Below are 23710 nucleotides of genomic sequence, written 5' to 3' on the forward strand. Positions count from 1 at the left end.
TGGAGAGAGGCATAAATTACGGCGTCTTCAGCTAATTTTACATGACACAGACACAAATGACTTTACTTTTCCTAATTGTGAGAAATAATGAAATCTTCTCTCCCTCCTTCTATCCGTGTCCTCTATCCAAAGGTTCTGCTAATTTAAAACATTTGGTGGAAAAATAATACTGGGGCATTGTTCTTATGAAAAAATCTAATCCTTTTGAGTTTAATTCTAATATGCAGAGAAGAATATGAACCTGTCCTGCATGATGGTACTATGACAAAACGAGTTAATTACCATCTCATCCTAAGATCAATCTACTTGTCATAGGAACGGGAGCCATTATTTCACACAAAATAATGACCCAGATAAAAATGACTGCAAGTTGAGGCGGCCAATGACACAGCTTCATCTTGACCTAACTGAGCTGCAATTAACAAGTGTCACCACTACATATATATAAATAGGGCCAAAGCTATTCATTAAATATTTGCAGTGAAAAAAACCACAAATGGTTTTTAGCATACTTCTTCCTGGGAAGCACCTGTGGTCTTCTACCTGGTGTGATGACAGAAAAATTTACACATGTAAAATTCAGCCATCAGTTGGAATAGCCACGGGTGTTGGAGAGGTACGTGGAATTGTCCTCTGCTCTTTGCACACAGAGGTGGTATTTTCTTTAGAAATTATGGCCAGCAACAGAAAAGAGGAGCAGGGAGAAGGGGGCCCAGTCCCATTATTTTGTCCCACTTCTTGTTGTCATGGCAACTGGACTAGAAACTAAAGCCACAGCCAGCAATGACAGCGAGAAATGCTAGGTCTTTCCAAGTCCAGCCCTGTCCACTAACAGACAATGCGGGGGCAAACGGTGGGGCAACCTCAACACACCTGGCTCCTCCAAGGCAGGAATGACCGTAAGCCACATTTCTGTTTAGAGGAACAGAGATGGAACTCTGGGATAGACATCTGGAGACACTGCGGGTCAGAAATCTCACTGCTGCCCTGGTTTACAAGCTGTCCAGTCTGTCTTCTTATTTAAAAACCAAGTGTATGACAGGAACAGGATGATACGATGGGCTTTAAAGCCTATTATTTTCAAAACGTTAAGAACAGAATTCTTACTATAAGTCTTCACTTAATGTTGTCAATAGGTTCTTGGAAACTGAGACTTTGAGCAAAATGACAAATGAAACCAATTTTCTTCTCAAGGTTAAAACTAAATGACACTGAATGAAATTGAGGACCTGCTGTATGCTGTTTCACTAAAAGTCAGTTTCTAAGAACCTACACAGTGTTAAGGACTTATACAAACACAGAATGAGCAGGTGTCATTTACTTCATAAATTATCTAATGAATCATCAGACACACATGTGCATACACACATCTATAATCAGTGGGAAAAAAAGAATGCTGGCATAAAAGTTAAGATAAAAACTGGCTAATGTCCTTCAGGGCATAAAAACCCTAACTTTGAGGGCCTTTCCCACTGGACAGATGGACATCTCCACTTGGGTACTACAGAAACAACACCCCAGTAGCTCGCAAATCGGGCTGTTTCCTGAAGAACTGAGACAGGACCACTGCAATGGGTCAGCCATGCAATAACCTAATTTGGTTAAGACAAAGTCACCAACTCATATCAACTCATATGTTTTCTTTCTTTTAAGAGACTGGGTCTCACTCTGTCAGCCAGGCTGGAGTGCAGTGGTGCAATCATAGCTCACTGTGGTCTCAAACTCCTGGGCTCAAGCAATTCTCTCGCCTCAGCCTCTAGAGTAGCTAGGACTATAGTCAAGCACCACCATGCTCGGCTTTTTAAAGAGACTTTTTTTTTTTTGGCAGAGATGGAGGTCTCACTATGTTGCCCAGTCTAATCTCAAACTCCTGAGCTCAAGCAATCCTTTTGCCTCAGCCTCCCAAAGTGTTGGGATTACCAGCTGAGCCACTGTGCCCAGCCTCAAATCACATGTTTTTAAAAAGCATATTTGAGAGTGGGCAGAGCCTTATGCCTTTCTTTTACTCACTTACCCCTCAAATATTCCAAGCATCTGAGTCTTAATTACAAAACCATTTCTAAAATGATTTTTTCCTGGTATTCGGATCATAGGGTAAATTCCACTTCTAGGATGTCCCTATACAAGTTGATTATTTGCAGCAATCCAAACAAAGATAGCTCTATTTCTATAGAAAGCTACATGCGTTATTAAAACACTTGTGTTCTCAGGCTTATGCGTATGTGAACAAAAGCTACTTCCCCCCTCCCCCATTTCTTAAATAATAATCTGAATTCTACCAGAGTAGAAAGAGCCTCCCTCATCCTAGTAAAATTACCAGAAATTCTGACCTCAGAGATCATCTGGCTCCTGGTCTATGGGCCATAGACCCATACATGAGCGGCTACTCCCAGAGTCCCTGGAGCCTGAACACTCAATACATGTTGAAGGGAGGGTGGCAGCAAGGAAACAAATCTCCTTTAAAGGGACAGCCTAATCATTTTACTGTTATACAAAATTCCTCTCAACGGCTTCCCGCTGCCTTTACAGCCCTGTCCCAGCTGTCTCTGGCCCCTTCTCCCGACCCTCACTCTCCCTCTGACGTTCTTTTGATTCCCCTCACTCCCTCCTGCCTCAGGCCCTCATGTACACTGTTCCCTGTTTGGAGGGCTTCCCGACCTGTCCGAGCACAGCCGCATCCCCAAAGACACCCCGTCATCCTTCCCATCTCAGCTCCAAGTACCTTCCGGATCCCCTTGCTCCTCAGCCCCGGCCACTTCTGCTGGTAACACTCACTAGTTCGGCTGTTTTATTCTCTGTATCCCAGCATCTAGTACATTCCTGGCTCAAAGCTGACAGCTGACAATATTTATTAACAAATTCCCTAATTGGCTGATTGGACCTCAAATCACAATCACCTGTATGGGGTGGGGAATTGTCGATTACTAGGGAACACTGGGTAAGAGAGAACAAGATAAGCATCAAGCAGTGAACTCAGCCCCAGTTTGGGGCTAGGACATTCCTTCTGTAGTAAATATCATATTAAAACTCAAGTAGACCCTACAGTTAGGCACAAAACCTCATATGGTTCACTAGTTCGGCTGTTTTATTCTCTGTATCCCAACATCTAGTACTATTCCTGGCCCAAAGCTGACAGCTGACAATAATTATTAACAAATTCCCTAATTGGCTGATTGGACCTCAAATCACAATCACCTGTATGGGGTGGGGGAATTGTCGATTACTAGGGAACACTGGGTAAGAGAGAACAAGATAAGCATCAAGCAGTGAACTCAGCCCCAATTTGGGGCTAGGACATTCCTTCTGTAGTAAATGTCATATTAAAACTCAAGTAGACCCTACAGTTAGGCACAAAACCTCATATGGCATGAAGAAATATGAATTCCCTGCAACTACGCAGTTTTCCCTGGTATGTTCGAATGTGGGTGGCCCAGGACTCTGGCATGCTTCCACACTAGGAAGGGAAGGGGGCTTGCGGCAATGAAGACCCATAGATAAAAGGAAGGTGGGATCTGGGAAGTCACATTACCATGAGGGTTTGAAAGGAGTCCCGGCGCAGGCCTGCAGGTCTGTCAGCTGTTAACCCCACTCCAGCTGGAAAAGACAGGACCCGGGCTCCTGCATGCCTGGGGAGGAGGGGTTAGCCATCTTGTTCCAGAGTCAGCTCTGGAGGGGGCTGCTTCCCTGTGGGGCTGCCAAAGGTTTAGGTCACAGCTCTTGCATGGCCTCTTGAGTGTGGCTGATCTGTCCTAAGGCAGCTACCTGCCTGTTCACTCAGGGGAACACTCGCAAACCTCTTCAATGGTACCCTGACTGTAGCGCTCACCTTCTTAATGAACTCTGGGATGAGTTTCTGGTCTGTCGGGTGGTCTAAGGAGGAACAGCAATCTAATTCCAAGATGTAGCCTTCATTGTGAAGATCAGTTTTCTGAGATCTGAAGAGAAAGAAAAGCACACACAGAAACAGATTAATATCTTGCATAATTTGGAGACAGTCTCACTCTTGTCACCCAGGCTGGAGTGCAATGACGCGATCTCGGCTCACTGCAACCCCCACCTCCCGGGTTCAAGCAATTGTCCTGCCTCAGCCTCCCGAATAGCTGGGATTACAGGCACCCACTACCACACCCGGCTAATTTTTTTTTTTTTTTTTTGAGACGGAGTCTTGCTCTGTCGCCCAGGCTGGAGTGCAGTGGCGTGATCTCGGCTCACTGCAAGCTCCACCTTCCAGGTTCACGCCATTCTCCTGCCTCAGCCTCCCCAGTAGCTGGGACTACAGGCGCCCGCCACTGCGCCCAGCTAATTTTTTTGTATTTTTAGTAGAGATGGGGTTTCACCATGTTGGACAGGCTGGTCTGGAACTCCTGATCTCAGGTGATCCGCCCGCCTTGGCCTCCCAAAGTGCTGGGATTACAGACATGAGCCACTGTGCCCAGACGCAGAATATTTTTTTTTTTTTTTAAAAAGAATCATTGGGTCTTTAATGAAGCCCCAGATTCTTTCCCGAAAGTAACGTCAAAAAGGCACTGATGAAAAATGGTTTATGGAAACTACTCAAGTAATATATACATATCCACATCATAGTAAGACCTCTAAGATGTAGCATCATGTAAAACACATCATTATAGAATGATGGGTTTGGTACAATACAGCTTACATGTTATACACACACACACACACACACACACACACACACACACACACACACACAAACTCTCACTCCAGTAATGTCTATGTCCCATTGGTTTATATCCGCCAGGGCACAGAAAAAGAACAAGCAAGACATACACCAAACCAATAATAGCAGGTACCCCTGGGGAATGGGGAAGGCTTATGTGGATGGGGATGGGGATGGGTGGTGATGGTATGGGTGTGGGGGTGGTGATCAAAAGTGAATTTAGCCATAATCCCTAATTGTTTTCATTTTTAAATGAAAAGAATATATTCCTATATCACTTAGAAAATTAAAAATTAATTTTTAAAAGACTTTAAAAGGGTTCAACCCCTTTAGAGGGCAATCTGGCAAAATCTATGGAAATTAAAGATGCATTAAAGAAAGACTACTGAGCAACTAAAAGAAATTCTGGGAAAACAGCGTGGGTGTAAACGGCTGTCTGAGGTGAAGGCCTGTAGTCTTGCTGTCAAAGGAGAGGCTTCCTAGCGCACCCTGCCATCTCTGCACACAGGGGCTGCTTTCCAAAGCACCACCACATAGACATCCCTGTGATACAGCACAGTTCAAAACTGCACCCATTCAGGAGAGCCAGCAGCAAGTGGTCACCAGGAGGAAATTCCACCACTTCACAGCCATTCACAGGCAGGGCTCCTGTATGACACTAGAGTGGAAATCACGTGGGTGTCAGAAATTGAAGAGGATTCCTTGGCCCAGCCAGGCATAAGGCAACAAGAGTGGTACTGCAGCTAAAGGCTGGCAGAACGTGCTGTCTCTTCTAGGTGGCTGGTGGTATTGGGGAGTGGGAATTAGAGACCAAGGCTCCCAGCTCCTTGTCCAGGGCTCATGTACACAGCTAATCTGCACTGGTGGAGGAGGGAGCAGAGCCCTCCTGGCCCACTTATGAGGCTGTTCTACCAAAGAGGGGCCCCTGAAGTCCCTGTGAGAGCAGGACTGTCCAGAAAATGCATAAAGCAGGCACTTCCACACTGAACTCCTGAGATACATGCATCTCACCAGTTTCTAACTGTGTATTTGCTGCAACGTTTTAAATAAATTTCTAAGATTCTTATATAGCATTAAAAGCAATTTCTGCTACCATTAACCATCTGTGTATGATTCACCTTAAATTTAAAAGTGAAAAAAATGAAAGAGGATTTGGTTTTCCCCAGGTGTGCAACTGTGATTTGGTAAGCAAACTTCAATAGCTTATTTTTATTTTTCTTTCCAACATACCCTTCCAAGGGTAGGGTACTGTGGCGCATACATTCAAAATGTAAAACAATAAACTGATTTCAATCTGGAACAAACTAATCCCAAAAGAATAAACCAATTCTGAACCCTAACCTTTTTGCCTTAATACTTGGTCAGAGACTAGACTCATGTTCTCATTTCCTCCCCAAACAAAAGACATATTAAGAGGAACTAAGGCAGATGATTCCAGACCTTTGAAAAGAAGACTTGGTCAAGACACACTGTCATACGTACCATGTGAGGTCTCAAACAACAAAAATCAGGATGAGGGAGAGGGGGTTCTAAAATCTAAAATCCAGCTGTTCTGTTACATGGAAACAGGCTATATGAGGTTATTTAGAAATATCCATTGAGATTTCAAATGAATAGACTAAAAAACTATAATCATTTTAAATAAGTCAATGCTGTATCCATTAAGTACAACATTCACAGGATGAACAAAAGGAAGACAAGTTGGTCTGTAAGCAACTCACAGCCCAGATCGATTCTAGGGAATAATCTTTAGCATAGAATCTAATAAGTACCATCTCTGGTTCTGGAACAAGAAGTTCTATAACAAGAAAGGAAGCTCTGGTTCATTTCTTCAAATAATTAACTCAGTTACATCTGAACTGAAAGGGGCACAAAAGATCAAGAAAAATAGGCATTACAAATTTTTTAGATGAACCATGGAAAATTACATCTCAGCCTATGGTTTCTTGGAAAAGCAAATCTAATGCATATTGGGGGAATAGGTGAGCAAGTAATAGGCGTTCTCCTGCCTTTGGGAATTAGCTCCTCAATTTGAAATGAAAGGATTATTACACTGAAGAATGGCTGAAAGGGAGAGGAAGGGGGAAAAATCCCTAAACCCCTTGAGGACAGATGCTGGCTGCCCAGCCTTGAAGTCAGCACTCTGTGATGGTGCAGCTATGGCCTCACAGAGGAAGAGCTGAAGGCAGAAGGCACAGTCACACAGAAACTCTCTCCTTGCCACTAATCCTATGAAAAACAGCATTAAATCCACTAGCAAAGCCCTATAGAGCTGCCAGAGGGAGTTTCTGGGCTTCTCAGCACTGGAGGTGGGGAGTGAGGTGGTGGTGGGGAGACCATGGTTGCTGTGGCAAACACACTCTAAGATGACCCCCACAACAATCCCCACCTCCTGGTGTTCACACTTTTGTGCAATCCAGCCCTTTCAGTGGGGGCAGGGCCTGTGACTTGCACCTACTCAATAAAACATGGTAAAGGTGATGGATGTCACTCCTGTGATGGCATTATGTTATATGACTCCCTCTGAGCTAGAGAATCCCTTACTGGCTTTGAAGAAGAAAGCTTCAGGAAGAAGGAGAGAGCCACATGGCAAGAAATTGTGGGTAGTCCCTGGCCAACAGCTGCAAGAAAACAGAGATCCCAGTCCTACAACTACAAGGAGATGATTCCTGCCAACAAACTGAGGGAGGCTGGAAGTGGGGCTTTCCTCAGTTGAGCCTCTGATGAGACTGCAGCCTGAGCCAACACTGATATTACAGCCTGATAAAATTCTGAAGCAAAGAACCCTGATAAACTACAGAAACCATATGATAATAAATACGTACCATTTTGAACCATGAAATGTGTTATCATTTATTACAGAGCATAGAAAACTAATACCAAAAAAAGAAAACAGAAAACTAACACAGTTCCTGAGGAGGAAGACATGGCAGTTTCATGCTTAGAACAGGCCACCCACTGGTGACCAGGCCTAGGCCCAAACCCACAAAATCCAGCCAGACATCTGAAAGCAGCTCCATCAGGTGAGGAGTGTTCTGTGTCCCTGAGGGCAAGGACTATCCTGGGAGACAGAAGTGGACATGTCCTAGAAGTGACCTCCAGGGCTGTGGCCTGGTTGTCCAAGATACCACAGGACAAAGGAATAAATATTCCGCTATCAATCTAGTTTCTATGGAAGAAGCATTAACCTGAAACTCCCAGCTGAGCAGGCATTGCCACCTTCCTATGGGGTAGTGGAAATACCAGGTATGCTCCCCAAAGGGCCATGTCATTGTATCATCCTGGAAAAGAATATGGGAAACCACCAAACTTCCCCTGGACAGAAGTCCAGATGACTTCCACTTTTGGAAAGGACAGAGAGATCTGGTTTTAAACAGTAAGAAAAAGAAAACACAGAATGCATTTCTGGAGACGTACACAGGGTTAACTAACAGCAAAAGCCCCCCCAACCTACTTTATCTGGAAATTAACACTAAGCACTCTCCAATTAAATAAAGACACTCTGAGGAGAGCATGACTAATAATAAAATATGCTTCCCCATCACTCGCCATCCCCAACTTGGTATGATAATTCCAATAGATTTATTAGTTAGAGGCTACCGGTGTTAGAGCTAACTAGAGGCAGGTAATACACCAGCTGTGAGCCTTTGGGCAATTTACTTAAACTTTCTGTGCTTCAGTTTCTTTCACTAATGAATGGGATATTATACGGAGCTACCTCTTAACATTGCTGTAAGGATTAAATAGGACAAAAAGAAGCAAAGCCCTTAGCACAGAGGTACAACATCCAGGCTCAACAAATCCTACCTGCTACTGATCTGTTATTATCATCTATAATTGTGTTCTTACTTTTCCTTCCTAGCACTTTTCACAGTTCATTACTCATTCATTCATTAAATATGGACCACACTACTACTGTGTCAGGTACTATACTTTAGCATTCATCAATAGATAGAAGTGACAAAACCTCTGCCTTTGTGGAGCTAACAATCTAATAGGAGGAGAAAGACAATAAGCAATAGACATGCATGAGCACCTAACAGAGTATGCCCAATGGTGGGAAGTCTTGAAAAAAAAAAAAAAAGAAAGAAAGAAAAGGGCTGGGCACAGTGGCTCACGCCAGTAATCCTAGCACTTCGGGAGGCTGAGGTGGGAGGATCACCTGAGGTCAGGGGTTCGAGACCAGCCTGGCCAACATGGCAAACCCCCATCTCTACTAAAAATACAAAAATTAGCCAGGCATGGTGGTGCACGCCTATAATTCCAGCTACTTGGGAGGCTGAGACAGAATTGTTTAAACCTGGGAGGCGGAGGTTGCAGTGAGCCAAGATCACACCACTGCACTCCAGCCTGAGCAACAGAGTGAGACTTCATCTCAAAAAAAAAAAAAAGAAAAGAAAAGGAAAAAAGAAACACAGCAGCAGGGTAAGGTGAATGGCAGGGGCAGCAGGGAGACAGTTGTAGTTTTAATGAGGGTGGTCAGGATAGCTGCACTGATGAGGTGAAATTTGGAATAAAGACTTCCAGGAGGTAAGGGACCGGGCTCATCCAGGGCATGAGCTCTCCAGGCAGAGGGAACAACAGCTCATGCAAAGGCCCTAAGCTGAGGGCATGCAAAGAAGCCCTGTGGCCGGGGCTCAGTGCAGAGGGGTGCAGGGAGGAAGACACAGTTGGAGAGCCTCAGGGGAGATGGATAGTATAGACATTCAGGCCACAGTGAAGACAATGGCTTTTACTCAGAATGACAGAGGAAGTCCGTGGAGGGTGTGGAACAGAGAAGTGACATGATCTGGTGAATTTTAAAAGGATCCCTCTGGCTGTAAGGGGCAGCCAGAAGCCCATCTAAGTGGTCCAGGCAAGGGATGATGATGGCTCAGAGTGGGTTGGCAACAGTGTCCTAGCAGCAGTGAGAAGTGCTGGGTTCCAGTTATATTTTCAAGGTAAAACCTTCAAGATTTTCATATGAACAGGTTGTGGGGTGTGGAAGGAGGAAAGCAGATGAAGATGACTCCAAGGATCTTTGCCTTAGCAACTGGGAGAATGGATGACTTTGCCAGAACTATCATGGGGAAGGGTTGGGTGGCACAGGCTTAGGGGGGAAGAAAGATAATTCAAGTTTCAGATATGTTGAATATGACATATCCAGAAGACATCCAAGTTGAGATGTCTGGTAGACAGTTGAGTATATATATATATATATATATACACACACACACACACATATATACTTGAATATATATACTGAAGTCTGGACTGCAGGAGAACGGTCTGGACTGCAGCTGGAGATATAAATTTAGGAGTCATCAGTCTCCCAGGTATTACTTAAAGCATGAGGCTAAATGAGCTCTCCATTAATGTAGCAAGAGAAGGGTTAAGAATTTAATTTTGGGACCCTCCACCATGAAGAGGGTGGGGTGAAAAGAGGAACAAACAGCCAAGGAGCTAAAGAAAGAATAACCAGGGAAGAAGGAAGAAAACAAAGAGAACACGTTTGTTTTCCTGGAAGCAAGGAAGCAAGGAAGCAAGTCAAGGAGAAGGGTATGAGACATCCTGTCAATTTCCTCAATTAACAAATTTATAATCTTCTCTCCAAGTTACTTATCCTCTTGAAATCCCAAGAGGGAAACTGAATTTAATCCACCCTATGCAAATAGGTGTGAAGAAATCTGTTAATCTGTTTATCTGTTTATATGATTATCTGGCAGATAATCATATAAATTGGGCAGATTGTCAAATTTAAATTTTGATTTGGGTTCAGAATAGCTTGGCTCCTTGAAAAAAAAAAATCATCATCTTGCTGCTGAGTCATTTCTCAGAAACAGCCTGGGGAAAAATTAACTAAAAAGAGCTCTGACCCATCTTACATCTTGGGACCCCCCACTTACACAGAGCACTGGAGATTTGAGAGGCTGTATTTCACCATTCCAAAGGAATTTTCTGAAAGGAGTGAGAATAAAAGGGTACTACTGGCAGAGATGTGATTTCCTGAAAATCAAGAATGAATAGGACAAAATGAACTCGAATCCTTAGAGTGTAGCAACATAGTTTTAATAATGCACATAAACAGAGTGGTTCTGATTGCTGGAGGCAATGGAGAAGCAACTAAGACATCTGAGCCCCGTTAAGTTTTAAAAAGCCATCACAACATGACAACTAAATGCAGTATAGTACCCTGGATTGGATCCTGGAACTGAAAAAGGACATTAATAGAAAAATGGTAAAATCTACGGTTTAATTAACAGTGAAGTACCAATGTCAATTTCTTAGTTTGACAAACATAGTATGGTAATGTAAGATATTAATGGTGGTGGGAAACTTGGGGAAGTGCATATGAGAATTCTCTGGAATACCTTTGCAACTTTTCTGTTAAATCTCAAGTTATTCCTAGGCAGGGTATGTTGTATCTGCCACTCTCCTAGAGATTTTCCTTGGGACATAACTGAACAAGTCCATGGAAAAGGGAAAAATAGAAAGAATGACTTATAAAGATGAGTAATGTAGACTCTTGTATTCTAAGAGGAAAATAAACCTTCAAGGAAAAAGACCAGGGATAATGAAATGAAAGAATGGGGTCTATGCTTCCTCTGGTCAGAAAAACTCAAAACTACTTCCAACTTCTTGCTTTCCTTACTTTTAAAAATTTTTTTATTATGATAAAATACACATCACATAACATTTACCATTTTAATCATTTTTAAGTGTACAATTCAGTGGCGTTAAGTACCTTCACAATGTTGTGCAACCACCATCACTACCCATTTCCAGAACTTGTTTTTCTTTTTCTTTTTTTTTTTTTTTTTGAGACAGGGTCTCACTCTGTTGCCCAGGCTGAAGTGCGGTGGCATGATCAAGGGCTCACTGCAGCCTCAACTTCCTGGGCTCAAGCAATCCTCCCACCTCAGCCCCCCAAGTAGCTGGGACTACAGGCACATGCTACCATGTCTGGCTAATTTTTTTTTTTTTGAATTTTAGTAAAGATGAGTTCTCCCTACGTTGCCCAGGCCATCAAGTGATCCTCCCGCCTCAGCCTCCTAAAGTGCTGAGAATACAGGCATCAGCCACCGCACCCGGCCTCCAGAACTTCTCTGTCATTCCAAACAGTCCTCATTTCTTTAACACCTTATATCTAGAACTTGGGCCAAAACTGAATGTGAACAAGTAAAAAAACCACACACACATTAAATAATGCTTGTCAGACAAACATATGAAAGTAGATTTGGACACTGAGCACTTGTACACAAATGTCAACACAACTGGCCACAGATGTCAGGGTCGTTTCAGAACATGATAAAAGACCCCTATTCTGTGTCAGGTTGACCTCATTACTCATACACAAACATCAACTGTAAAACTGTGTGCAAACTCAGAGATGTACCTGGAGATCTTCACTCACCACCACCCTAGCGTCTGCCAAGGGTGGTGTAGTCATTCTCCAGGCAGGGGAAGGGTCAGATGGCCAAACTAGCGCTGTAAACTCAAACGCCCATGGGCAACGAGTGAAAGATTCTTTCTGAAACCAAAGCACATAATCTAGACATTTTGTTCTCATATAAAAGCCTGCAGCTTTGGCCTTCCAGCTCAAGCAATCCTCCCACCTCACCCTCCTAAGTAGCTGGGACTACAGGCGTGTACCACCACACCCAGCTAATATTTATATTTTTTATAGAGACAGGGTTTTGCCATGTTGCCCAGGCTGGTCTCAAATTCCTGGGCTCAAGTGAACCTCCAGCTCGGCATCCCAAAGTTCTGGGATTACAGGTGTGAGCAACCATGCCCGGCCTTGTCTGACCCATTTAAACAGCCCCTCACTCTGCTCTCACAGTGGTGGGACCTAACCCTTTCCTAAGACATTAAAATAGCATTGTTGTAACAAGTACTGCTAACACTTATGAGTGCTTTCAATATTGGTAATTATCACAGGCAAAACAGTTAACCCTCAAATCACTGACAAAGTGCCAAGTAGTAAGTTGAATATGCATTTTGGTCTCATGGGAAGATCTAAAATGAGGCCACTAAAAAACAATTGCCTGTCGAAAAACTATTATAAACTATACTTCTAAAAAATAAGCATGTGACTAAAAACTATGATACACATTACTTTTAAATAATAAACATGTAATAAATCCCATTTTGGCTCATAAATCCCTTAGATCTCTTCAAAGACCATGAGTTTAAACGATGTCTTCTTTTTCCCAGGACAACAGGCAGTTATGAAAAGGAGAGAGAATGTGCAGTTCATCAGTAGGGTTATTTTTGCTTCATTTAGAAATAATCAAAAAAAAATGGTGACAAACACAAACAGATTACTAGGCACTTCTCCAGCCAGGAAAAAAAATACTAAACGTCAGTTGACAAAAACAAATTCTCTATCTCTGGGAAACAGGAAGGAATTTTAAGATTTTTGTTTCCCAAAGCAACACCAAGCTCAAATAGAATAATCAGAACAGCTTATTTTTTTTTTTTTAAAGAAGTATTAGGGAGAGAAATGAGCTAGAGATCTGAAAGAGATTTGTCAATGAAAGAAAAAGAAAGCTATTCCTAGTTTCATTAACTTACGTATAACTAATGACAATAAAAATCTCCACTTATTCATTTGTCTATCCATCACCTGCTTGACTGCTGACCACATATGAGGGATTGAAGGCACTGCCCTCAAGTCTAGATCCTGCCCTCAAGTCTAGATAGACTGTGTATAAACAGAAGTGCTATGAGAATTCAATTATTTCCAGTGTCAAGGATCAGGGGAAAATTTAAGGAGCAAGGCGTGTGTGGGCTGAGTCTTTGAGTCTGTATGGAAGTTAGTCATGGGACAATGGATAAAAGGACATTCTAGGCCTGAGAACAGAAATTAATGAAGACCTAGATTGAGAAAAGCATGAGTTATATGATGGAAATAATAAATAGGTCAGTTAGGCAAAAGGTGTGTGAAGGTGCGGGTTGCCTGTAACTCAGCAGAGGCTGTAATGATGAGCCTAGGGAACGTGTGGGTGAATCCACTGTTAGAACGAGTCTGTGACTGTGGGCTCTGCAGTGACCGGGGCAGAATAGTGGGAAACAAAGTTACTGAGAAAGGACGGTACTCGCCTTAACTGTGAAGTAAAGAAGAGTCATGGGTGGCCTTAGAGAGAAAGATACTATGACAGATTCTGGGAAGATTAAGCAGGCGGCAGTGTGTATGATGTAGGAAGGGGGGAAGAATATTTTAGGACAGCAGCAATGAGAACTGTACTGAGATTTTTGTCGAAGGGAGTGGGTGGACGGAAGAGCAGTATTTCTTGTCCCTGCAATTGGTGGTGGTTGTGGGCAGGGGAATAACCTGCACCTTCCCAGAGATGCTCCCAGTACAATAGGGAAAAGGTTTCCCATAATTTTATGAACCCTCTTTGCAAAATGAACCAAATCTACACAAATACAATGAGCCTGTTGGAGTTAAAAGTTTCCCCTATAGCAAAACTGAAGAAATACTTGAGGAAAAAATAGTCAAGTAAACAAATCCTAGCAAATCTTTAAATAAAGCACCTCAGTATAGGGTCCCCCAGGGGAGTTGTGAAGTAGGAAGCACAACGAAGGAGAAGAATTTACCCACAGATGAGTCACTGTCCTTTCTTCCGATGTTCCCTTCCCCTTCTAGCAGAAGACATTCAGCACTTCTGTTGAAAAAAGTTTGGTATCTCTGGGAACATTCTGGACATGATGGGGGAGATGTGCAAAGGATACTCCCACTACACACTCTCTCAGGGAGCTGTGCATGCCTACTGGGGAGATGTTACCAGGGACATCTAACTATCCGACCCTGCTATTTATTCTAGAGAAATCATCCTGTCTTGCTGCTTACTGTCAGGGCTGGCTCCCTGGGAGACAAACTATCAGCCACTGTGCACTACAAGGAGTGCACTGTTAACCGTAAAGACCAAGAGGAAAACAGACAAACTTTGCCTCGGTGCTCCCTGTCTAATGGAGTTGTGAAAGAATTTCAATGCCCAGTGAGCTGGGCTGCAGAAAAGAGGAGAGCAGCCACACAGAATGGGAGCTGGGGGAGGGTCCTGCTTTCTCTGGAATGCTGCAAGTCTCTCCTTTACATTGACAGATGTAGAAAGAACTAATATTAGTAGCGATGCATAATTAATAATATTTTATCACAAATAGAATACTGAATAAAAGCAGTCTGCCTGACATTTACTGGTTCAGAAAAGTCACATATCTGCAAACAAAAATAGCAATAATAGCTACATAGGAATGGTGTTCATGAGACTCTCTCATGGGACCTGTCCAGTTAGGTTACAAGAAGCCTCTTCTCTACGTGCATTGAATGCACATGTTCCACATTAAACTTTGCTGATTGTTTTCTTCCTTCCCAAATCATCCCACCTATACCCACTAACTGAGTTAGGTGATAGAAATGTTCTATATCTGTACAGTCCAGTAAAATAGCCACTACGGTTTTGCTACAGCATGTTTTGCTACTGAGCACCTGAAATTCAGCCAGTGCAACTGAAGAATTGAATTTTTATTCTTACTTAATTTTAACAATTTAAATGGCTATACATGGCTAATGGCTGTGTTACAGGAAAAGACAGCTTAATTCTGTTCTCAAACTTTAATGTATGTGCAAATCATCTGGAACCTCGTTAAAGTACAGACTCTGATTCGACAGGTCTGGGTAGGCCTGAGAGTCTGTGTCTCTAAGAGCTCCCAGGTGATGCTGATGCTGCTGGTGCATGGACCACACTTTGAGTAGCAAGATTCCGACTGCTTCAGGAACCACCAGTTCCAGTGTGTCTCAAATGCTGAGTGGATCAATTGTCTCCAAATTTTTCTGATCACACAGCGTGCCAGAAAAAAATTCCTGAGTACCACTGTACTAACATCTTACATATGTTATAAAACAAAACATACAAAACAGAAAATCGTAAACAACAGAAATGATGAAATAAGCAATATTTTATAATGATGATCACAGTAAGTTCACACTATTAATAGCTAATACCTCAAGGCAAAATATACACTTGAAATGAGATTCATTGTTAACATAATGGAACTATAACACACTTTTCAAAAAGTCTTCTTGATAATTCCAAATTTCTAAATCAGATCTGAACAGGTAGGCATTGGTATTGGTGTTTTTTTTTTTTCTTTTCTTTTTGAGATGGTGTCTCACTCTGTCGCCCAGGCTGGGGTGCAGTGGCATAATCTCAGCTCACTGCAATCTCCACCTCCCGGGTTCAAGTGATTCTCCTGCCTCAGCCCCCGGAGTAGCTGGGACTACAGGTGCATGCCACCATGCCCAGCTAATTTTTGTATTTTTAGTAGAGACAGGGTTTCACCATGTTGGCCAGGATGGTCTCGATCCCTTGACTTCGTGATCCGCCCGCCTCGGCCTCCCAAAGTGCTGGGATTACAGGTGTGAGCCACCACGCCCAGCCCAACATTGGTGTTTTAATCTCATACTGCGTCCCACAAAGCTCTTATGGGCAGAGACGGGTCAGTGTAGCCATTTCCACATGAGAGAGAGAAGGATTTTACATTTACATTACGGGTATTCTCTTCAATCTGCAATCACTTCATAGAAATTTTTTAAAGCCATGTGTATATTTCATGAGAGTTAATTTAGCTAAAATTACAAAAAGCGATCCACTAATTCACCTTACTGAGATCTCAGCTGAAAGTGCTTCCCTGAACCCAGCCCTTCTGCAGGCCCCTCCTGCTCCATACAGCACATGTGACCTCTGACATACACACCAAGCCAGGACACCACCTTCAACCTGAATGCTAAATATTATGACACATCATCTCTCTCCTAATTTTTCAATAAAATATATAAAAATAGACACCTCAGTTCTCCTTCAACATTAAATATGTCTACCCCACTTTGGTAACCACTGTTTAGATAGTACATAGAATTTCCAGAATTATTATGAAGCTCTCAAATAAAATTTACCTCCAATAATAATATTGAACATTATGTTCTTGAAAACACAAGGTGGAAATTCTTCTTAAATTAGTGTGTTAATGTAACTACAATTTCAACAGAGTTTACCAGGAACTGAAGAAATTATTTCAGGCTTTACATGGAAAAATCAACGTACAAAAGTTATCAAGATCCTAAAAAAGAATAGTGCCCTGGCCGGGTGTGGTGGCTCACGCCTGTAATCCCAGCACTTTGGGAGGCTGAGGCGGGTGGATCATGAGGTCAGGAGATGGAGACCATCCTGGCCAACATGGTGAAACCCCGTTTCTACTAAAAATACAAAAAAATTAGCTGGGCGTGGTGGCACGTGCCTGTAATCCCAGCTACTCAGGAGGCTGAGGCAGGAGAATCACTTGAACCCGGGAGGCGGAAGTTGCAGTGAGCCGAGATTGTGCCACTGCACTCCAGCCTGGTGACAAAGCGAGACTCCGTCTAAAAAAAAAAAAGAATAGTGCCCTACTGGATGTTAACATACATTACAAATTTATTATCATCAAAATAACATGGTTCTGGCACAAAAATCAATAAGTAGATCAAAGAAACAATAAAGAATCAGGAATAGATTGGGATGTACATATAGAAATCCTAACTATAATAAAGGTGGCATTTATTCAATGGCAAAGTTAGGTTAACTTAATAAGTGCTCTTGGCAAAGGTGGCTACCTAGAAGAAAATAAAAGTTAGACTCCTGGCTGGGTGCAGTGGCTCACGCCTGTAATCCCAGCACTTTGGGAGGCCGAAGTGGGTGGATCATGAGGTCAGGAGATCGAGACCATCCTGGCTAACACAGTGAAACCCCATCTCTACAAAAAATACAAAAAAAATTAGCCGGGCATGGTGGTTGGTGCCTGTAGTCCCAGCTCCTTGGGAGGCTGAGGCAGGAGAATGGCGAGAACCCAGGAGGCAGAGCTTGCAGTGAACCAAGATCACGCCACTGCACTCCAGCCTGGGTGACAGAGCGAGACTCTGTCTCAAAAAAAAAAAAAGTTAGACTCCCTGTCTTACTCCCTAACTAACCCACTGGTTCTCAAATCGGGGCAGTTTTGTCCTTCCACAGACATTAGGCAATGTCTGGAATCTGTCACAACTGCAGGGATGGGGGGTTTGCTGGTAGAATCTTGTGGGTAGACACCAGAGAGTCTACTAAATATCCTACAATGTACAGGACAGTCCCACACACAATTGTCTGATCCAAAATGTCAATAGTACCAAGGCTGAGAAATTCTATCCTTACCTACCTTAACCCTCACAGCTAAACAATTAAAGAGGAATGCTATTAGAAGACAGGTGCCAATGTGAAAACCGGTTTCTCCACTCATGAAACGTGTGGACACTGGCTTGGACAAGTACCACTCTGAGTCTCATTTCCTTCATCTTGGCTTAGGGGAATAAAGATAATATATATCATGAAGCAATGAACAAGGACTCCAGCCAGCCACAGCAGTAAATAAATGGTAGCTATGATGGCTATTATCAAAAATGAGAAATCATATGAAGAAGTACCTGCAAACACATAAATGTTCTTTACAAGAAAAGGGGGCATTATGTTCCTAAGAGATCCAGGTTGCTTGATGGAGTAATTTTGGAGACTTAAACTATAGCAATATATTACAAATTCCCCACGAACAGGAATCGTGTCCATCTCATTCTCTCTAACAAAGACTGCTACCTTAGCGGACCCAAAAGACACGTAATAAATACATTTTTATTTTGTTTTTAGGGAGCAGAGAGAAAATAACACACTGATAATCGTAGAACCATTATTTGCATATAATCATTTGGTGCAGAAACTGAAAAGACCCAGCCAGCCTGCTGAATGGGGCCATTTGGGGAGCTCTAAGTGGTTTGCAGTTGTAGCCCTATGTTCTGAAACCAGCTGGGGAATTAGCAAAGCTTCTGGTCCCACAGTGTAGCCATGGGGACTGGGGATGTTACAAAGCCCAGAAAATTCTCAGAATTCTCTGAGGATGTTTCTATAAGCTCTGGGGCCTCTGAGTTGAAAGATGATGTATTTCTGTGCCATGAGTCTCAAGATGGAACTTGAGTTCTATATTCACCACACACTCCCATTACCCACTCCAAACTTCGGACTGAGAAGTCGTTAATGACTTCTTCAGCCTCATTTTCCTAGACATAAAATGAGAAGTGGGGAATGAGGGAAGGTCATGGTATCTTTTGGTTACAAAACAGTGTATGTCTAAAACCTCTGCTGAAAGCACAGTAATGTTTTCGACAAATATTAACAACAGAAACAACCATCATGAGGACATAATGAGAATTAATTATAATACCGAAAACATACAGGAACAAAGCAAAGTGCTCTCAGACTCTCAGAAACAGGTGTTATGTGAATACAAGCTGCTAATTTGGTTTTTAAAGTCTTTGTAGCCATTTTAAGTTCCAACTCATGGTCGATGATAGGAAGTGAATGAAATGATGTATTCATATTTATAGCATATTTATCATATTTTCATATACTTATAGCATCTTTATAGCATTTACCTCTTTGTAAATGGTTCCATCTTTCAATCATTTAAAATATAAAATTTGGACAGATTTTAGAGACAATCATTATATAAAAATCTCATGAACATTTAAATCATTAATAATGTACTTATATACATCTAAACATTATATCTCACCTACTTCTGCATTCATATCTAAAAGTGTAAAACTCAATGACTAGTCTCATCCAGGACCCATCACTGGTAATGCCCATTATATCTTTTTCAGCTTGAAAAACACACAAAAAAAATCTAAGTTACTTCTGATTGACAAAGAGGAAAAAATGTCAATTTTCAATTCAACAGAGTTGAATAGGTAGACTATTCAATACAAGACTCCCACAAAGATTTAAAGTAAGACAATCTGAGTTCCTATATTTAATATGAGACAGACATATAAATAGAAAACTCCAACGCTTTAGTAAAATTATTTGCAACTAAATTACCTACACTTATGCATACGATTCTCAAAATCATGTCCCTGTAGTCTACCTTGCAATGCTACCAAATAAATCTTCCTAGAGAGTCAATTTTTACTTAAAGATTGTATGTACATGTGGGAAGAGGGGGCCTCTATTTTATTTAAAAACAAATACAGACATTTCATGGTACTGAAGTATTCACCCAAGTTTTAAGATTAACAGGAAATTTCAAAGAAATTCAGTGCTTGTGCATTTGTTTGGGTACCTGCTCACTGTTCTCTGTCATTTCAAAATAGTTCTGGGGAGAGGGTGGAAATCACTAGTGTGCTAATTCTCTCTCTCAGAAGAAACAAACAAACAAAAAATAAATAAAATGTGAGGAAAGACACAGGCCAATCAAGGGCAGCTATAGAACAGGAGTGGGGAAAATGAGCTCTCACACCAACCATGCACGTCTCCTTCTTGTTCTCTCCACCGGGGTAAAGGCCAATGCTTTGGAGGAAGAGAACAAGAGTAACTCGGCAAGCCATTTAGGAGTGTGGATTGGAAAAAATTCTTTCCCCCAAGAGAAGGTGGCTTTACGCTGGCATATGAGATTGAAAAGTGCAAACAAATAATTAACGGTGAATCCTGAAACTTCAACACACCAGAAAAGGGTGTCACTCCAGAGTGAGATGGGAAAATAAGAGGAATAAATTAAGGTAGTCTTGGTGATGCTGGACAGCTCCTCAGGGGGTACGGTGGCAGCCCGGAGAGCTAATCAAATCCTCCACACCCCTCAGGAAGCTAGAGAAAACTGATGAGGAAAGATACCACACCAGAAACGAGGGGCAGCTGCCAGCAACGGGTGTTCGCCCCACCTAAATCGGAATCCAAAATAACGACCCACATGCTAAACAAACACCTTCTCATTCCCCGCTCTGCCTTAAGCAAGAGCTCTGAATTCACCTTCCTCAATGTCTGCTCTCTGGGAATAAACCGGCGGCTGCAGTTTCCCATCACAGTAGCACGCATCAATCAGTGCTAAACCCACCGTTACTTTCTTCCCCACGTGTGATTCCAACAATCAGCGCACTCTAGGGCTGATCCTCGGCCTCGCGTGTGAACATTTTCTAGGGCACACCCCAGTAGGCGCTACCACCCCCTGTGTATTTCGCTTAATTATGAAACCTCTTTCTAGAAGCCCTATAATTCTCCCAAGAGTCAAGGTAATTGGTAAAAATTAGACATGAAAAGACACAAGGCCACTTAAAGAGGACACTTTCGACTGTAATTTTTTAAAGGATTTTCTTTTTAGTTTCAGTATAATTTTGTACTTTCCCAATTTTGCCCTTTTCAAATGCCAAAGAAAATGTTCATATTATCTTGTAGGCTATAAAAAAAAGATAACATAATGCATTTGTACTTCACTTATGGTCCGCAAAGATTTCCTTTCTTTGAAGGCCATCCTTTGAATGTCTTTTAAAAGAAAAAGAAGAGTGAAAAATAATGGACATCTATTCTTGTGGCAAATCACTGTTATTTTGGCAATGAAAGGATCGTGTGTGTGTGTGTGTGTGTGTGTGTGTGTGTGTGTGTCTGTTCCATTACTTGAGGTCTGTGCTATGTGGCTGCATTATTAAGATATACTTTTGGTACTGATAAATACGTAAACCAAAGACAGATCTATCTCATAATGAATTTATGGTCCTTTAGTAAAAGATTGTAGCAAAATTCCAGGGCATGGTTTTATCCCACTCAATTCATGCAAAATCTATTGAGCAATATCTATTCAAGGCCTGGCACTCTGAGCAAGCAATGGGAATCCAAAGATGGAAGAGGATTCAGCAAAGGGAGTGGAGGTGGGCAGACATCTAAAACACAATAACAGGAGAGACTGAGATTCCAGCAATTGCTGTGTGTCGAAGGCAGGATAAGCAGCTCAAAGGGTGTGTGATTACCTCTACTGATGTAAGCACTACACAGAAATCTTAGAGGCTGCAAGATGGCAGCCAGTGGCATGGGTTAGGGACAAACAATCCTACTTTGGAAAAGTGAGGCTAAAAGAGAAGTTTTCACATAAAAATCCAGATTTCTGGCTTTTCTTGAAAAAAGTACAAGACCTGGCAACACCTGATAACCATAGGACAGAGCTAAGGCATTGACTCACTACTTCCCAAGAGTCCCCATTCAATGAGCCAGGCCACTGTAGGGATCTGAGCTTGCAAGCCCTGTCTTAGAATAAAGACAGAGTCTTCAGAATTTTAGATTCTGGGTCTCAAGAGGAGAAACAAAGGGTAAGGGATGAGCATTCTCTGAGATTTACTTTCCTGGAAATAAAACAGCAAAAGCCAAAAGAATCGTTTCTCTTGCATCACTTGACCCTGGGTGGACAAGGCTGACTCATTCAGTCATCTGTGTTGCTCGTAAGCACTTGGGAGTACAGCTTGCTGATATGGCCTAAGAGGAAACATTTCACAGACTCCAAGCATATGGTCAATTTGGGATGAAGCAGCTCACCGTAACTCTCAACAACCCACTGCATCTCTTCTAAGAATCACTGGAGGAATCTGTTCTAGAACAAGGACTGCAGTAGCCTTGGCTAAGTCAGCAGCTAGAGAAGTGGGCCCTGGCCTGAGGGGCTCATTACAGCACCACACACAGCCTCCTCCAGGCTTCTCATGCCTGCCCTCCCACTGTTTCTCTTTGGACACCACGTTCCACTTGTTCCACAATGTCAATAGTGGGAAGGCCCTTCCCACTTTTTCACTCCCTATTCCAGTCTACCCATCATGCCCAACCTAGAGCAAATGACAGCCGCAGAGCCTCCTCTTCTAAAGCACTCTCATTAACAAATTCCAGGTTAGAGATGCAAACCAAGACCTGTAGACTTACCTGGGCAATTATATAATTTGCACATATATTTTGCAGCTCCCTAGTAGATAGATAAGTTTCTTGAGATCTAGGAGCTCCTTAGAGTCATCTTTGCATAGTGAAATTACATATACATATTTACCTTAGAAAAATCCAAACAAAAGGGATAAATGTTTACCACTTAAAACAGTGCCAGTTATTCTATTCAATAGGCAGATGTGCCCCAGAATGAACTCGAGAAGGGAGGCGTGGAGTTCCTGTTCCCTCAATGCCAATTCCCACAAATGCTTCCCTAGGTGCAAAAATTTCACCATCCTAGGTGTGATTCCAATGAGTACTCACTATAAACCCAAACCAGCTTACCTCCCCTTGGGGTTCACTGTTGGAAAAGCAATCTGATCTAGTCCTGAAGGAAGACATGCATTGGTCAGGTAGAGAGATGCCACAGTATTACATTTTATATGCACTTCAAAAGATTTTCAAGGGTAACTTTGATTGTACACATTTTCCACCTTCCACAAGAATTTTAGAATTGCAGCCTCTGCATTAACTACAGGTCCTCTGTGTGCCCCCACCCTAATCCTAGGCCAAAAGGTGCCTGATAAATGTCCACAGAGCTCCCTAGTATGCTGGTCCCTGTACCATGTAAGGCATTACTCTACGGAAGCTGTCGCCAAAGGACTTCAACTCATTCATGATGAAAAACACACCAATGACGCCCCTAGCTCCATGTGTGTACAACGACAATTCAACAGCTGAAAAATGGCCAGCACCATGCATTTTTGTACTGCAGTTACATCTATAACCATAAAACAACCTAGAATTAAACCCACACTCATGAAACATCAGAAGTGACGTTTTAATAACTGACTTCTGTTAGCCATCAAGTTTCAAGATCTTTAGCAACTCATTCTAAGGAAAACTACTTGAAAAAAATGAAGGATCACTTAACTATACTTAGAATTCAGAGTGAGTGCAACTATATTGTCTATTAAAAATCACTAAGTGTTCCAAAGAAAGAGTTGAGAAAATGAAGTACAAACTCTCTTTCTACTTATTCACTAAGTATTTCATATTCAGCTATTCATTCTTGAGTCAAAGTAACTTGAGTCAAAGTAACTGACTTGACTAAATTCAATACACTTAGAATTAAGAACAGTTTACAGTTAGATGTGTGGCTAGGCCTGCCATGGTAAAATGAAATGGCAGTTATTAGAATTTTCAGAAGAAAAGATCAGGTAATTTTTCAGGGATGTAAGTGAAATCTGTCAAAATGGCAGTGAGC

At 42.2% G+C, this 23710-nt stretch overlaps 1 protein-coding gene across 10 annotated transcripts in view, besides 1 other annotated feature; it reads right to left on the minus strand.

Annotated features, from left to right (window-relative positions):
• Positions 1 to 23710, minus strand: part of RFTN1 (raftlin, lipid raft linker 1) — a 197855-nt gene that overhangs the window by 89704 nt on the left and 84441 nt on the right. For all 10 annotated transcript variants that reach the window (XM_017006007.3, NM_015150.2, XM_047447783.1 and 7 more), the window contains exon 4: positions 3827 to 3935. In XM_017006007.3, coding sequence (XP_016861496.1) covers positions 3827 to 3935 — 109 coding nt within the window. The remainder of the gene's footprint in view (positions 1 to 3826; positions 3936 to 23710) is intronic.
• Positions 9449 to 9538: an enhancer, noted in NCBI's record as "active region_19543". NCBI's record gives its function as "activates an Ori minimal core promoter by ATAC-STARR-seq in GM12878 lymphoblastoid cells {active_cell/tissue: GM12878}" and the evidence as "EXISTENCE:reporter gene assay evidence [ECO:0000049][PMID:35858748]".

Source organism: Homo sapiens, chromosome 3 (genome assembly GCF_000001405.40).
Source record: "Homo sapiens chromosome 3, GRCh38.p14 Primary Assembly".
NCBI lineage: Eukaryota > Metazoa > Chordata > Mammalia > Primates > Hominidae > Homo > Homo sapiens.